The 15684-nt window shown below is 43.6% G+C and overlaps 2 pseudogenes across 1 annotated transcript in view; one reads left to right on the forward strand and one right to left on the reverse strand.

The window, feature by feature from the left end:
• GTF2IP1 (general transcription factor IIi pseudogene 1) overlaps positions 1–15684 on the reverse strand; it is a 52323-nt pseudogene that overhangs the window by 15370 nt on the left and 21269 nt on the right. Inside the window, exons 3-10 of the transcript NR_002206.3 lie at positions 15004–15069; positions 12654–12837; positions 11327–11385; positions 9776–9847; positions 8624–8807; positions 7204–7262; positions 1790–1861; positions 369–552 (exon numbers count right to left, since the gene is read on the reverse strand). The product of NR_002206.3 is annotated as a general transcription factor IIi pseudogene 1 (transcript). The remainder of the gene's footprint in view (positions 1–368; positions 553–1789; positions 1862–7203; positions 7263–8623; positions 8808–9775; positions 9848–11326; positions 11386–12653; positions 12838–15003; positions 15070–15684) is intronic.
• Positions 3174–3959, forward strand: PHB1P6 (PHB1 pseudogene 6; annotated as a pseudogene).

Below are 15684 nucleotides of genomic sequence, written 5' to 3' on the forward strand. Positions count from 1 at the left end.
TCCGTCTCAAAAAAAAGAAAGAAACTCAATCATCAATATTTAGTCGCTCTCAAGATTGACCAGGAATAACAGAGCAGATAAAAACCAGCAAATTAAACTTCCATTCAAGTACTCAGGCATACTGCGAGTCACCACGGGGCCTCACGGTGACTCCGCGGAGGCGATTGTCACTATTTTCCTTGCACGGATGAAGATGATTGAGTATGGGCAGGGGCAATGGACAGTACCCGGACTGCAGCTCACAGCCAGGCTTTGCCATCAAGGACTTACAGCCACGCCTGTCACCTCTAGCTTGAAAAACATCTTAACAGAAATGTCATTTTATTGTTTTGATTCCAGAAACGACTACAGTGGCAAAAAGAACTTACTTTTTAACAACGAACTTGATTTTATTACTCCCGCGGACGATCCTTTCAAGTCGTGGAATTCCAAACCAGGTAGGGCTTCGGAAGGGAATCCCCTCTGGCAAGCCTTCCACATACAAGAACTCCGGGTTTGATTCAAACACAGGATATGGTACTTTTACTGCCTCGGTGAGTCCAAGAGCTTGAGCTGAAAGTGCAAGAGAACGTTAAGTTGCGGAGGATAACATTTGACACAGACATTCTTTCTTTGTGTCTACATTCTCGAGTACAGTATGGACAAGCTCCCTACGGTCAAGCAATATCCACTTCATATTGAAGGCATTTTGCTTAGGATATGGGGCAAATCTGAAGAACGAGCCTAAAAAATAAGTGCTTTTAGGAGGAACATTTTAACACTTTCAATCAAAAGGAGAGTTATGTTATTAGTGAAAATGACCTCTATGCTCTGGGCAGAAATGACCGAAGGCCATTCCACACAGCAGTGGACCCTGCTGGCCTTTGTGTTATCATCAAGAAGCAGGGTGTCTGTTCACAAACAGGCGGTGTCTACGATACAGCTAAGCAGCACTCAGTTCGAGTGGTCAGAGGCAGGGTAGTCAGGACTCCTGATCTGAGACAGGAAATGTCAACCCCAGGTATTGAGATAATGGACAGAAGTGCCCCGGGAATTTTGCTAGCACTGCCCACTCCTTACTTCCTTCTCCATGACAGACACACCCAATCAACTGAAACACTCTTTCTTGCTGAGCCTCCTCAGAATCGTTCTCAAGACAGCACTCCAGGAAACCGCTGTCAACAAATCTAAGCTGAAACAAATGATGAAACCTATTTGCCACATGGGTGTTAGCCAGACGAGAAGTACAAACAGTGGAACTGAAACTTATCCCAACACCTCCCTTCCTCTCCCATTCTGACACGTGAGAAAGTGGAATCCAAGAGAAATGAAGTCATCTGCTTGGTTTCAGTAGCAAGTGTAGTGGTAGAAAGAAACAGAAACCCAGTTTCTGGGACCTTCCTTCTTTAGGTCCTGAACTTTTTTTCCTTCTTTTTTTTTTTTTTTTGAGACAGAGTCTCACTCTGTCGCCCAGGCTGGAGTGCAGTGGTGCGATTTTGGCTCACTGCAAGCTCCGCCTCTGGGGTTCAAGCCATTCCCCTGCCTCAGCCTCCCGAGTAGCTGGGACTACAGGCGCCCGCCACCACGCCCGGCTAATTTTCCTGTATTTTTAGTAGAGACGGGGTTTCATCGTGTTCGCCAGGATGGTCTCGATCTCCTGACCTCCCGATCCGCCCGCCTTGGCCTCCCAAAGTGCTGCGATTACAGGCGTGAGCCACTGCACCCGGCTGGTCCCGAACTTCTATACTTCATTCAGACATGGCCCTTTGTTGATATGTTATTAAAGACATAAATACTGGCTTTTACTTACCAAATTTCAAATTAAAAATCTCTTCCACTTGCTTCCGTAGCTTGGTAATTCTGACATTCCAATCTTCTTTGACTGGAAAACAAAAAGAAACCCAATAACCATGTTATTTATCAGTGCTGTTGCAAATCAGAATGGATTTTGCTAGAAAGTACTCTTGTTTGCAGTGATTCTTTTTTGTTTGTTTTGTTTTATTTTTTTGAGACAGAGTCTTGCTCTGTCGCCCAGGCTGGAGCGCAGTGGCGCGATCTCGGCTCACTGCAAGCTTCGCCTCCCAGGTTCACGCCATTCTCCTGCCTCAGCCTCCTGAGTAGCTGGGACTACAGGCACCCGCCACCATGCCCAGCTAATTTCTTTTTGTATTTTTAGTAGAGATGGGGTTTCACGGTGTTAGCCAGGAAGGTCTTGATCTCCTGACCTCGTGATCTGCCCGCCTCGGCCTCCCAAAGTGCTGGGATTACAGGCGTGAGCCACCACGCCCGGCCTGCAGTGATTCTCTTAATTCAGTTTTGTTAAAAGCAAACATTTGGGGTCTTTTTTTTTAAATTAATTAATTTATTTATTTTTTATCATACTTTAAGTTCTAGGGTACATGTGCACAACGTGCAGGTTTGTTACATATGTATACATGTGCCATGTTGGTGTGAAAATTTGGGGTCTTAAGGAAAATAATAATTTCCAGTACTTGCCAAATATCAGAAAAACTGCAGAAAGACAGAATTAATTTATTTATTTAGAGAAAGAGTCTTGCTATGACGCCCAGGCTGGAGTGCAGTGGCGTGATCTCAGCTCACAGCAACCTCCGCCTCCTGGGTTCAAGCGATTCTCCTGCCTCAGCCTCCCGAGTAGCTGGGATTACAGGTAGCCGCCACCACGCCCGGCTAATTTTTATATTTTTAGTAGAGACAGGGTTTCACCATGTTGGCCAAGCTGGTCTTGAATGCCTGACCTCAAGTGATCTGCCCGCCTCGGCCTCCCAAAGTGTTGGGATTACAGGCGTGAGCCACCGTGCCCAGCCTAGAAAGACAGAATTTAAATTTAAGTTTACATTGTAAATAAAGTGAAATTTGTCCACATGAAAGAGTGCTCAAAATCAGTGCTTCTCACACATTCCTCCTTGGAGAAGTCCCTCAGGGAACTCGGTCAGAGCAGGGAGGCCAGCTGCATGAGGTTCAAGGGCTCCCACACCAGTTTCAACAAGAGGGACTTTGCTTTTATTTGCTTTCTCTACAGGCAATCCTCGTTTTATCTAACAGATGTGTGCCTAAAAATCTACATAAAGCAACACTTCACTAATCAAAGTGACTTTTCGCATCAGAAATCAATGATAAAGGGACGGAATTCATGTGGGGGGTTGGAGTGGACGCAGGCGTGAGTGGGTCCAGCAGATGGAAACACAGCTGCCAAGTCTGCCCTGTCCTTAGCTTCTGCAGGAGGTGTGGGGAACTCTGCCTTCTACAATGTGATGCTGCACAGAGAGCTGTCTGTCATCTTCGACCAATTCCATGGCATTCAGGACACTGTGATAGGGGAAGGAACGCACTTTCTCATCCCATGGGAAAAGAAACCAATTATTTTTGACTGCTGCTCTTGACCACATTATGCACCAATCATCACTGTGAGCAAAGATTGTCACCATCACACTGGGCGTCCTCTTCCCACCTTGTTGCTGGCCAGGTCCTTGCATCTTCCAATTACTGGAGAAGCCAATGAAGAATGTGCTGCCATCCATCACTGCGGAGCTCCTCAAGCTGGGGGCGGCTCAGGCTGACGCTGGAGAACTGATCACGCAGGGAGAGCTGGGCTCCAGACAGGTGAGCAATTAACTTCGGAGCAAGCAGCAACCTTTGGGCTCCTCCTGGATGCTGTGACCTTGGATCTGACCTTCGGGAAGGAATTTGCAGAAGCAGTGGAACCAAAGAGGTGGCTCAGCAGGAAGAAGAGAGGGCCAGATCTGTGGTGGCAAGGGCTGAGCAGCAGAAGACGGCGGCCATCATCTCTGCCGAGGGCGACTCCAAGGCCACGGAGTTCATCGCCAGCTCAGTGGCCACCGCAGGTGACGGCCTGATCAAGCCCACAAGCTGGAACCATGGAGGACACTGTACCGGCCCTCCAGCTCTCAGAACTCATCCACCTGCCCGTGGGGACATCTGTGCTCCTCCAGCTGCCCCAGCGCAGGCCGCCCTGCCCTGCACCTCCTCCAGCCAACTGGGCCACAGCACCAATGACTTTTACTACCGCCTTCCTTCTGTCCCCACTCCAGAAATCACTGTGCAATTTCACGAATGGCTTAAAGCAATGGACATAAAAGGAAAAATCACTTCAGAAAAAAAAGAAAGCAATGGTAAAAGACCTAGAGACGTTATTCAGCTTCACTCACAGTGACAGTGGGGTGTGTTTTCCTATCCCTAAGACAACCATTGCCTTTTAAGCATCAAAATTTAAAAAACAAACAAACAAACAAACAAAAAAGCTATTATAAAGACATGTAGAATATCACTGATGTGGACAGAGTATTCAGGTGTGGACGAGGTGCGGATGAGGATGGAGGTCAACTTGGAGACAATGCAGGATGACTGAAGTGTTTCTGGATGAGCAAAGGAGGGAAAGAGAGAAAGAGGAAACGGGTCGGGGGGTGGAGGGTTCGCCTCGGTGTGGAGGTCATCTCTGATTGCTGACAAATGCAGTGGAAAATGTTGGAGAAGGTCTGACAATATCGCTAAAGGTTGGTGGTTTCAGAAAATCTTATAACATTTCCTTTACTTTAAAAGAAAACTTAGCATCTCAAGGGTTGAATGTGAGTTGTTTTTTCCCTGTGGATTTCAGAGTAGGCCATTCAGCCACAGAAAATAACTCTGGATGAACCACATTTGAATACTACCAATAAAGACCTCGGACTCTCCTCCTCTAAGGTCGAGCGCCTCTATTAACTGCTCAGCCTCCTCTTCTGCCCCACCCCCACCCCCTCCTCCCCCACCTTGCTCCTCCCATGCAGGACTTCACAGCCTCCTCACAGAGCCAGGTGCCACCTCCCACTCCATCACATGCCTGGCTCCGCTGCCTTCTCGCGTGTGACATCTCCCTTTCACCAAGCTGAGGACACTGTGCACCCGTGGTGTGTTTAAGCAGACAATTCTGATGGCCACAAAATTCTTTTCTCTTGTGGTCTGTGACTCGAGTTGTCCTGTCCAAAGACTAACGCATGTTCCACGGGCAGGCCAAGTAAGGTGTTGTTGGAATGAGGAACCACCAAGCACCTTTAATTCCTTCCAAGATCTTTTATGAATGGGACAAAGTCAAGTGCTGTTAGTGACGACAAGAGTGGAGATTCTCCTTCTGGTGAATCTGCTGCACTCTGGTGACGATGGCAGGTCCGGCACTGCTCCAGCACCCAATCCTTGCAGTGACTTCTATGGCACTTGCACATTCTTTTTACAATAGAGGCTTCGCATTCTCAGTTTTTGCAGTCACTCACTGTCACAACTGCCCCTAACAAAAGTGGTGACTGCATTCCTCACAACCTTGAATTTGAGCTTTGTCTTGAGAAATGAAGGTTTCTACAGGTTTCATCATGTTCAGACTAATCCAAACTGAAGATCTACCTCCAGGAAGATTTTTCTTTCTCCATTACTTCCCTGAGCAAAAAATGTGTCACTTCCAATCTTCAATTCTTCACCAGTACTTTGATTGCTTGACCAAATCAAAAGCATGCTGAGGTTAACCTATGAGTTAAGCATTGACTTTTATCTTCTCCACTACAGGACTCCTGGACCAAGATAATTTTGTTACCCTGCTACAGAATTTCTCAGCCACTTTCCATGCCATAATCCACACAAAATCTATTTGGCACACTGACTGACCTTCACTCATGTCCACAAGGTGCTGTGAGAGCTGAAGGAGAAGTATTTTAGGGCACACCCAGGAACCCAACTTGAAACATTTGTTCACCTTAGTAGTCGTGAGCATGATTAACTGCACCAATCTGTATACACCTAGTACACACACAAATTTCATACTTGATTCCTAACACTTATTTCTAACAACAGAAAACTTCACACTACAGGGTATGGGCATTTACACACTACAGGGTATGGGCATTTATTGGTTCTTGGCAACAGAAGTTCCTAAGGTGGCTGATGATCTACAGAGTGTGGTCACTTCCTCTGACATTACACAACGGCAAACAAAAAGAAAGAGGTCAGGTGCAGTGGCTCATGCCTATAATCCCAACACTTTGGGAGGCCAGGGCAGGTGGATCACCTGAGGTCAGGAGTTCAAGACCAGCCAGACTGACATGGTGAAACCCCATCTCTACTAAAAATACAAAAATTAGCCCAGGTGTGGTGGCGTGCAGCTGTAGTCCCATCTACTCGGGAGGCTGAGGCGGGAGAGCTGCTTGAACCCGGGAGGCGGAGGCCCCAGTGAGCCGAGATTGCACCACTGCACTCCAGCCTGGATGACAGAGTGAGGCTCCGTCTCAAAAAAAAAAAAAAAAAAAGATAGGAAAGAAATAAAGGCACACTTAGAGCTCTAATAAAGAAAATAACATCATTCATTGAACAGAGACTTCTTAGATCTTCCCTATTAGGCTGTGATATTTGTGTGCAGGTCAGAGTTACAGTCTGCCATTTTAGGAACACGATACATATGAATAAACATTAAGGTCTAAATGCATATAGCAGGTACTATCCCCGAGCAGTTGAAATGTTTGAAATGTGGCTACTTGGAACTGAAATATGCTGTGAGTATGAAAGACGCGCCAACTGTCAAATAAAGAACATGGGATAAAGACCGTGAAATACTTCCCTGTGTATTTCTTTATAATGATTACAGGCTGAACTAGAACGTGGACGATTACACATGTGGCTTGCATTTGTGGGGCACACTGCCTTTCTCATGGATAGCAGTGGTCTACGGTCAAAGCTTGAGTTATCTGTGCACTGCAGGTGTTCACATTGATAAATCAAGGAGTGGCTGGATTGAGCTTCTGCAAATGATTTTTTGGGGAGGCAGGGGAAGGGGGACTTCCATAATTTTAAAAGATTAACTTTTAAAAGCTTAAAAAGTATTGATCTGTGCTTTTTTTTTTTTTTTTTTCTGAGAGAGTCTTGCTCTGCTGCCCAGGCTGGAGTACAATGGCGTGATCTCGGCTCACTGCAAGCTCCGCCTCCTGGGTTCATGCCATTCTCCTGCCTCAGCCTCCCGAGTAGCTGGGACTACAGGTGCCCGCCACCAGGCCCGGCTAATTTTTTTGTATTTTAGTAGACATGGGGTTTCACCATGTTAGCCAGGATGGTCTTGATCTCCTGACCTTGTGATCTGCCCGCCTCAGCCTCCTAAAGTGCTGGGATTACAGGTGTGAGCCACCGAGCCTGGCTGATCTGTGTTTTTAAAAAAGGATTTCACAACTAGTTTACCTGGTGTATTCGTTCTTGGCTGAGTAACTTCAGTGGTACTGTGAGTCAGAAGTTCTGGTCTGTAGAAACAGAGTTGATATTAGTAATAAAGCATTTAGAAGCAACTCACAGGCCTTTCTCACACAGCTGTTCATTGCCAATTAGTTATAAATATGGTTCATCCTGCCTTCATTTTATAGTGAAAAAAAAATCATTTTGGTGACGAGTTTATTTTGAAAATGGCAATTTTCAGATATTCGGGTGAGACCTTCAAAATCATCCTATATTTAAGATAAACAGGCGAAAGTCACTTTTCCCCCAAACCAGCTCAATTCTGTTTCTGAATCTTAGATGAACTGTCCCACAGCACAGCCAGAAGCAGCTCGCTGTAGCATCTTAAACGTTTCCTATCCCTTATAACTCAGTCCCAACAAACACACAGAGGCATGACCCCAATCAGTAAGGAAGGTTTACCCTTCCACATCCCGTCAATGAGTGGAGAGAGGCCTTCTGTTCCTAACCCCGCACCCAAACTAACCATTGTGTTATCCTTCAAAATCAAGCCAGAATTACCTTTCTAAAGGGCGGATCCACATTATTTTCAGAGGCATCTGCCTCGAGACCACTTCGTGACTGCCTGTGTTCGTAGGATCTCAGGCCTTCCTCCACTTGCCCACCCAAGTCGATCCATGCAACCCCACCACGCCCACGTGGCAGTCCTCACTCCACACACGGTGGGTGAGTTCTGTGGATACGCAGGCATATTTGCCACCTCCTCCCCCTACTCATATGATTTCCTTCACTTGAAACACCTTCCATCTCTTCTGGATGCACAAGTGACCGAGCTAGGTGTGCCATCCTTGCCTTCTCCCTTAAAAACGCTCAATAACACTTCGTTGCATTTTTCTATTTTTTTTTTTTTTAATTATTTTGAGATGGAGTCTCGCTCTGTTGCCCAGGCTGGAGTGCAGTGGCACGATCTCGGCTCACTGCAACCTCCGCCTCTAGGGTTCAAGTGATTCTCCAACCTCAGCCTCCCGAGTAGCTGGGACTACAGGCTCGCACCACCGCTTCCAGCTAATTTTTGTATTTTTACTAGAGATGGGGCTTCATCATGTTGGCCAGGCTAGTCTTGAACTCCTGACCTCAAGTGATCCACCTGCCTTGGCCTCCCAAAGTGCTGCGATTACAGGCGTGAGCTGCCGCGCCCGGCCTTCAGTGCATTTTTCTTTGTATGAAGGCCCCAAGGACAGTGTTCTTGTTAGACCCAATTTTGCACATCTGATGCTTATACTAATATTTGTTCACTAAGTGAATCTAAATATTAATGCCTTCATTGTCAATAGAAATAAGTCATAAGGTAAACAAAAGGCCCTTCTTCATCAAATTAACCTCTTCTCAGGGAAGACACTGAAACTATTTCTACAGATTATCATCTTACCTTTTAATAACAAATTTAATTCGATTGCCCACTTGAATGATTTTTTCCAGCCTTGGGATTCCATACCATGAGGGACTTCGGAAAGGAATGTTTTCTGGCAGTCCTTCCACGTACAGATCATTCGGGTGTGCCTCAAATTTTTGGTACGGTACAGCCTTGGCTTCAGTGCTCCCCAAGGCTTCCGCTGGACAAAAATCAAAGCAATTCGGGAGACTACATTTGTATTGAAATCAGATTTTAGTACAATCCAAAGAAAGGCACAGGTCAATTTTGTTTTACTTGAAAAAAACTCTTTCTAGAAACATATTTATTAACTATTGAATAGACTTAATACAGCAAAGACAAGTAGAGATGACCGATCATCAACAGCCAGATTTGGGCAGATTTAAGTGTCCTGGTCCTAAGACAATCTTAATAGCTCTGAGATCTTTAAAAGATTAAAGTTTGTTTTTCAATATCCTTAGGAAGAAAAGAGAGAAAGAAAATCATCATGGACAATAGAGGACACAACCTAAATACTATCTGGAAGCAGCCTTTTGCTACTAACTGTTCAGGACCGTAATTACCCTCCTCCATCGGCTATGGCAAACTGGTAACACATTTCCGACTACACTTTCATCTGCGTGGCAACCAGATCAATGTTCTTTACCCCTTCAACCTCACGAGCATGCCATTTTAAAGGAAATAACTTTCCACAGATAATTCATAGAATGGGGGCCGGGCGCGGTGGCTCACGCCTATAATCCCAGCACTTTAGGAGGCTGAGGCGGGTGGATCACCTGAATTCAGGAGTTTGAGACCAGCCTGGCCAACATGGCGAAACCCCATCTCTACTAAAAATACAAAAGTTAGCCAGGCGTGGTGGCGGGCACCTGTAATCCCAGCTACTTGGGACGCTGAGGCAGGAGAATTGCTTGAACCCGGGAGGAGGAGGTTGCAGTGAGCTGAGATCGTACCACTGCACTCCAGCCTGGGCAACAGAGCAAGACTCCTTCTCAAGAAAAAAAAAAAAAAACCCAAAAAAAAAACCAGGGAAAACTAAAGCTGAGTCCTATTCACTGTATTTACTTTCCTAAAATAAAACAACATTTAAAAAAATGTTACTCAGTAATACATTTTAGTTGAAGGGGTAATTAAAAAAAACAGACTTACCAAATTTTTTGCAGAAAAGCTGATCCACCATCTTTCTTAATTTAGTGATTCTGGCATACCATTCTTCCTTTACTGTCAAAATAACAGTAATACAAGTGTTCTCAATTTAATGGGTTTAATAACTTGATTATTAAACATTATTACTATAAAATAAGAGGTATAACTTTTCCTTTTCCTATGGCCAAAATTATTTCTAAGATTCGTGGCCAGGTGCAATGGCTCACACCTGTAATCCCAACACTTTGGGAAGCCGAGGCAGGCGGGTCACTTGAGGTCAGGAGTTTGAGACCAGCCTGGCCAACATGGTGAAACCCCATCTCTACTAAAAATACAAAAATTAGCCAGGCGTGATGGCGCACGCCTGTAGTCCCAGCTACTCATGAGGCTGAGGCAGGAGAATCGCTTGAACCCAGGAGGCAGCGGTTGCAGTGAGCTGAGATTGCGCCATTGCACTCCAGCCTGGGCAACAGAATGAGATTCCGTCTCAAAAAAAAAAAAAGACAATAATAAAATTATTCCTAAGATTCTAGAATGTATTTATTTCTAAAACAATGCTGACACTGTACAAAAAGAGGAAGAACGAAACATTCATTAGAGCTAGGAAAAAGCAAAACTCAGTGTATTCAGGAACAGCTAGCAGGTAACACTTGCTACAGGAAGATTAGGGCTATGATCTTGCTGCAGTCCTTCTATCTTAGTAAATATCAACAGGGTGATTCCATTCTGTTTTATCCTCACTCCACTCCACTCCAGAGCAAAAGCAAGCAAGAAAATCAATTATATTTCTATTTATTTTAAAACACATCTAACAGGCTGGGCGCGGTGGCTCATGCCTGTAATCCTAGCACTCTGGGAGGCCGAGGTGGGCAGATCACCTGAGGTCAGCAGTTTGAGATCAGCCTGGCCAACATAGTGAAACCCTGTCTCTACGAAAAATACAAAAATTAGCTGGGCATGGTGGCAGGCACCTGTAATCCCAGCTACAGGGAGGCTGAGGCAGGAGAATTGCTTGAACCCAGGAGGCGGGAGGTTGCAGTGAGCGGAGATCGCACCACTGCACTCCAGCCTGGGCAACAGAGCAAGACTCCCTCTCAAAAAACAAAACAAAACAAAACAAAATACATCTAACAATTAAGAGATGATATAAATGGCTCCATGCTCTAAAAGGAAACCTTCTTATGTCCTGCATATCATGGACATTCAATGAATGCTTGTTCCATTGACTCGTGTAGACTTCAATAATAAACTGTTCAATGCATTATGCCAGATAAATCTTGCATCAAAAGTAGAACAAATATTGTTCTTTTACTTCTGTCTACCCATAAATGCAATATTTATAAGTATTTACAATGGGTTAATAAAAAGAAGATGCGTTTATTCTTCTAGAAATTATTAGAATTTTGACAACATGAATTCTCCTGTAATGGCACATAATTAATAGTTAGAGACATATTATTTCATGTGGAAGGTAACATAAAGAAGAAATCAATGTTAAGCGTGAAATAATTATTGCACATAATCTTCTGATCTGCCTCGAGATTGAAGACCTACCTCCTGAAGCTGGCTTATCAAGCTGTAAATCTTCACGTGTTGAACTCAGAAGCTCATGTCTGAAAGGTGAGAATAAATACTCAATAATCACTAGGTAATATTCAGCAAACTAATAACGACTAGTACATATTTAACATTTAGTCAGTAAGGCTGGTTTTGAAAAGAAAAGATAATCTGGATGCTTGAGCACAACTAAATCTTTTTTTTTTTTTTTTTTTTTCCTGAGACGGAGTTTTGCTCTTGTTCCCAGGCTGGAGTGCAATGGCGCAGTCTCGACTCACTGCAACCTCCACCTCCCGGGTTCAAGCAATCCTCCTGCCTCAGCCTCCCAAGTAGCTGGGATTCCAGGCGCCCACCACCACACCTGGTCAATTTTTGTATTTTTAGTAGAGACAGTGTTTCACCATTGTTGGCCTGGCTTGTCTCGAACTCCTGACCTCGGGTGATCCAGCCGCCTTGGCCTCCCAAAGTGCTGGGATTACAGGTGTGAGCCACTACACCCAGCCCACAACTAAATCTTAATTTGAGGTTTCTACAGAGTAAAAAGCAAACTAATAATTGCAAGTTGTCTCATAAGGTGCTTCATGGAGCATGTATCCTCACAAGTAAAGAGGTAACTTTGCAACCCACAGGTCTTTGAAGCATATTACAAAAATCTTAAATGGGATCCTTTAATGTCATATTGCATTCAAGACTATCTTCCTCTGCACATCTATAAAAACAATCATATATTCCCACGCATGCTTTAAAAATCTCAGGCCTATGAGGGCGAGGTTGGCAGATCATCTGAGGTCAGGAGTTCAAGACCAGCCTGGCCAACATGGTGAATCACCGTCTCTACTAAAAATACAAAAATTAGCCAGGCATGGTGGCGCACGCCTGTAATCTCAGCTACTCGGGAGTCTGAGGCATGAGAATCGCTTGAACCTGGAAGGCAGAGGTTGCAGTGAGCTGAGATTGCGACACTGCACTCAAGCCTGGGTTCCAGTGTGAGACTCCATCTCGAAAAAATATATATATATATATATCAGGCCTAAAAACAAGGCGTGGATTCTATGTTCTTTAGCAAAAGTAGCAGAAAATTGTGAAAGAAAATGTGAGTTGCATGCCAATCCAGTGCGGGCACTGTTCATGCTTCGAATGCCAACACTGCATGACTGATGCAATGCTGGACCCAGATAAATTAAAAAGTGCAAGATAAAAATACATAAAATAACTCAAACTTCATCACATAGAACCCTAGTGGTGAATGAATATTGGTCAACAATAAAAAAGACGTATTACTCAGAAAAGAGACAAGAGTTCAACAGGAATCCAAGAGTCTTACTTCTTAATCACAAAACGAATCCTTTCCTTTGCAAGTAATATCCTCTCCAGGCGAGGAATTCCGTAAGTAGATGGCCTTCTAAAAGGAATTCCTTCAGGAAGTCCTTCTACATAAAGATCTTCAACATGAGACTAGAAAAGAGGGTACGGGATCGTCACCGGACCTTTGGCTTTTATGGCTTGAGCTATAAGGACAAAAAGAGAAAGAGATATCATTTAAACACAATTTGTAGAAAAGAATAATAAATCATTGAATCTGTAGTGCTCTTTAACTTTTTTTTTATTTTTTTGAGATGGAGTCTTGCTGTGTCTCCCAGGCTGCAGTGCAGTGGCGTGATCTCGGTTCACTGCAAGCTCTGCCTCCCGGGCTCACGCCATTCTCCTGCCTCAGCCTCCCGAGTAGCTGGGACTACAGGTGCCCGCCACCACGCCCAGCTAATTCTTTGTATTTTTAGTAGAGACGGGGGTTTCACTGTGTTATATATATATGTATATGTGTTTATGTATATATATATATATGTATATGTGTATATGTACATATACATATATATGTATATGTGTGTATATATATACACACAGGAAGCATTTATTACATGTATGCCAGGTATTACGTGAAGCACTTTACTATCTTATCAATCTCCAGGATAGATCTTCAGTTCTCATGACCACAAAAGAGGATACTAAGACTCAGACAGGAGAAGAGACGTGGCAAGGCACTGTGTCCCCAGAGCCTATGATCTTACCACTAGGTCACAGTGCTTCCAGGTAGCACATGCTATGAAGTTTTTGCTTCATAATGAACCAATAGAAAACATGAGGCCGGGCGCAGCGGCTCACGCCTGTAATCCCAGCACTCTGGGAGGCCGAGGTGGGTGGATCACCTGAGGTTAGGAGTTCAAGACCAGCCTGGCCAACATGGTGAAACCTTGTCTCTACTAAAAATACAAAAATTAGCTGGGCATGGTGGCGGGCACCTGTAATCTTAACTACTCAGGAGGCTCAGACAGGAGAATTGCTTGAACCTGGGAGGCAGAGGTTGCAGTGAGCCGAGATCGTGCCACTCCAGACTAGGCAACAAGAGCAAAACTCTATCTCAAAAAAAAAAAAAAAAAAAAAACAAAAAACAAAAAACAAAAAACCACGGGCAAAAAAGGTGTAAGCTATTAAAAACTGGGAGAAACACTAAGAGAACCTTAAGTAAACCACTAAAAATATGGAAAAGTTACTGAATTCACTAGCAAATTTACTCTAATTGTAGATTTTCATTGAGGGGTAGGTTATATTACTCATGATGAAGAAAAAATGCTCATTTTAAGTTTGTTAACACAAATACCATCAATATGGTTTATTGCATTTAAATTTTCACTTATAGCAATTCAGTTAAAACTGCATATCATACAATTTTACCGCTTGCTAGTTAATGGCAAAGTAAATAGTCATCCAAATAAAAATGATAACAGATGATAATAAATATGATAAAAATAAAATGATTTTTATTTTAAATCATTTTAAATATTTTATAAAAAATAAAAATGATAAATTGTGAATTTCTTTGATCATTATATAAAGGTGGCTATAGGACAGAATAGTAAAAGGACAAAGAAGGAATTGAAATCTAGCATCAACTCAGTTATACATCAAGATAAAAGCAGTGGCCGGGAAGGGTGGCTCACGCCTGTAATGCCAGCACTTTGGGAGGCCAAGGCGGGAGGATCACTTGAGGTCAGGAGTTTGAGACAAGCCTGGCCAACATGGTGAAACCCTGTCTCTACTAAAAATACAAAAATTAGCAGGGCATGGTGGCGGGCACCTGTAGTCCCAGCTGCTTGGGAGACTGAGCCAGGAGAATTGCTTGAACCCGGGAGGCGGAGGTTGCAATGAGCCGAGATCGTACTACTGCAATGCAGAGACTCCGTCTCAAAAAAAAAAAAAGATAAAAGTAGAGACAATAGGGGGATCTCAGCAAATACTGGATTTAACAAAGTAGATTAACAGAAACTATCAGTTAAAAAAATAATTTTTAATGAAACCCCCAAGATCCAGAGCTTTGTAATAAATATGTAAATAAATTCCCAAATATCCATGCTGGAAGTTTAAAAGAAATGTTAGCTGATAACTACAGAAATACAACTTTTCCTTAGCTTTACTGTAATCTAGAAACAAAGACTGTTTCTAATATTTAGACAGACACTACTAAGGACCTTACAATGAGAGACGTGTAAGAAAGTGTGGCACGGTTCACTGGCAGCCCTGGGCTGGGCTTGTCCACATCACCCCCATGATGAACAGTAACGCCATTGTGTAAATGCTCATGAACAAAGTATTACAGGAATTTTCCTATTTAGACATACCATATTTCCTTTCAAACAATTCTTCAACTTGTTTACGTAGATCAGTGATGCGAGCATTCCATTTCTCTGAAAATTGAGCAAAAGTTAATTCTCATTAAGAAGTCCCTACCATCGGGGCAGCACTAGGGTCTTGGGATGACTGAACATACAATGACATATTTTCTACATTTTTACATCCCAACTGTCCATATCATTTTACTGCTTTCCAAGAACTTTCCCCTTTTTGGTGGTTCTTAGAATTAGTAGGTTGGTGCAAAAGTAACTGTGGCTTTTGCCATTACTTTTAATAGTCTCATGGGAGACTACACGAGAAGTTTTAACATTTAGCACCTCTTTTTAGCCTTTTAATTTCTGAAAAGCAGGAGGGCAGAAAAGATCAAGCAAATGAAACACGACAAAAGGGAGACCACGATAAAGGTCTCCAGGGGTCTTTTAGCAAACTTCCTAAAACATGTGTTAGTTGTGTGGAAATAAGACTTTACGGATATATAGTTGCAACTTAAAATGCTAAAGAACAGGCCAAGTGCAGTGGCTCATGCCTGTAATCCCAGCACTTTGGGAGGCTGAGGCATGCGGATCACCTGAGGTCAGGAGTTCGATTCCAGCCTGGCCAACATGGTGAAATCCCATCTCTACTAAAAATACAACAATTAGCTGGGCATGGTGGTGGGCGCCTGTAAT

Source organism: Homo sapiens, chromosome 7 (assembly GCF_000001405.40).
Source record: "Homo sapiens chromosome 7, GRCh38.p14 Primary Assembly".
NCBI lineage: Eukaryota > Metazoa > Chordata > Mammalia > Primates > Hominidae > Homo > Homo sapiens.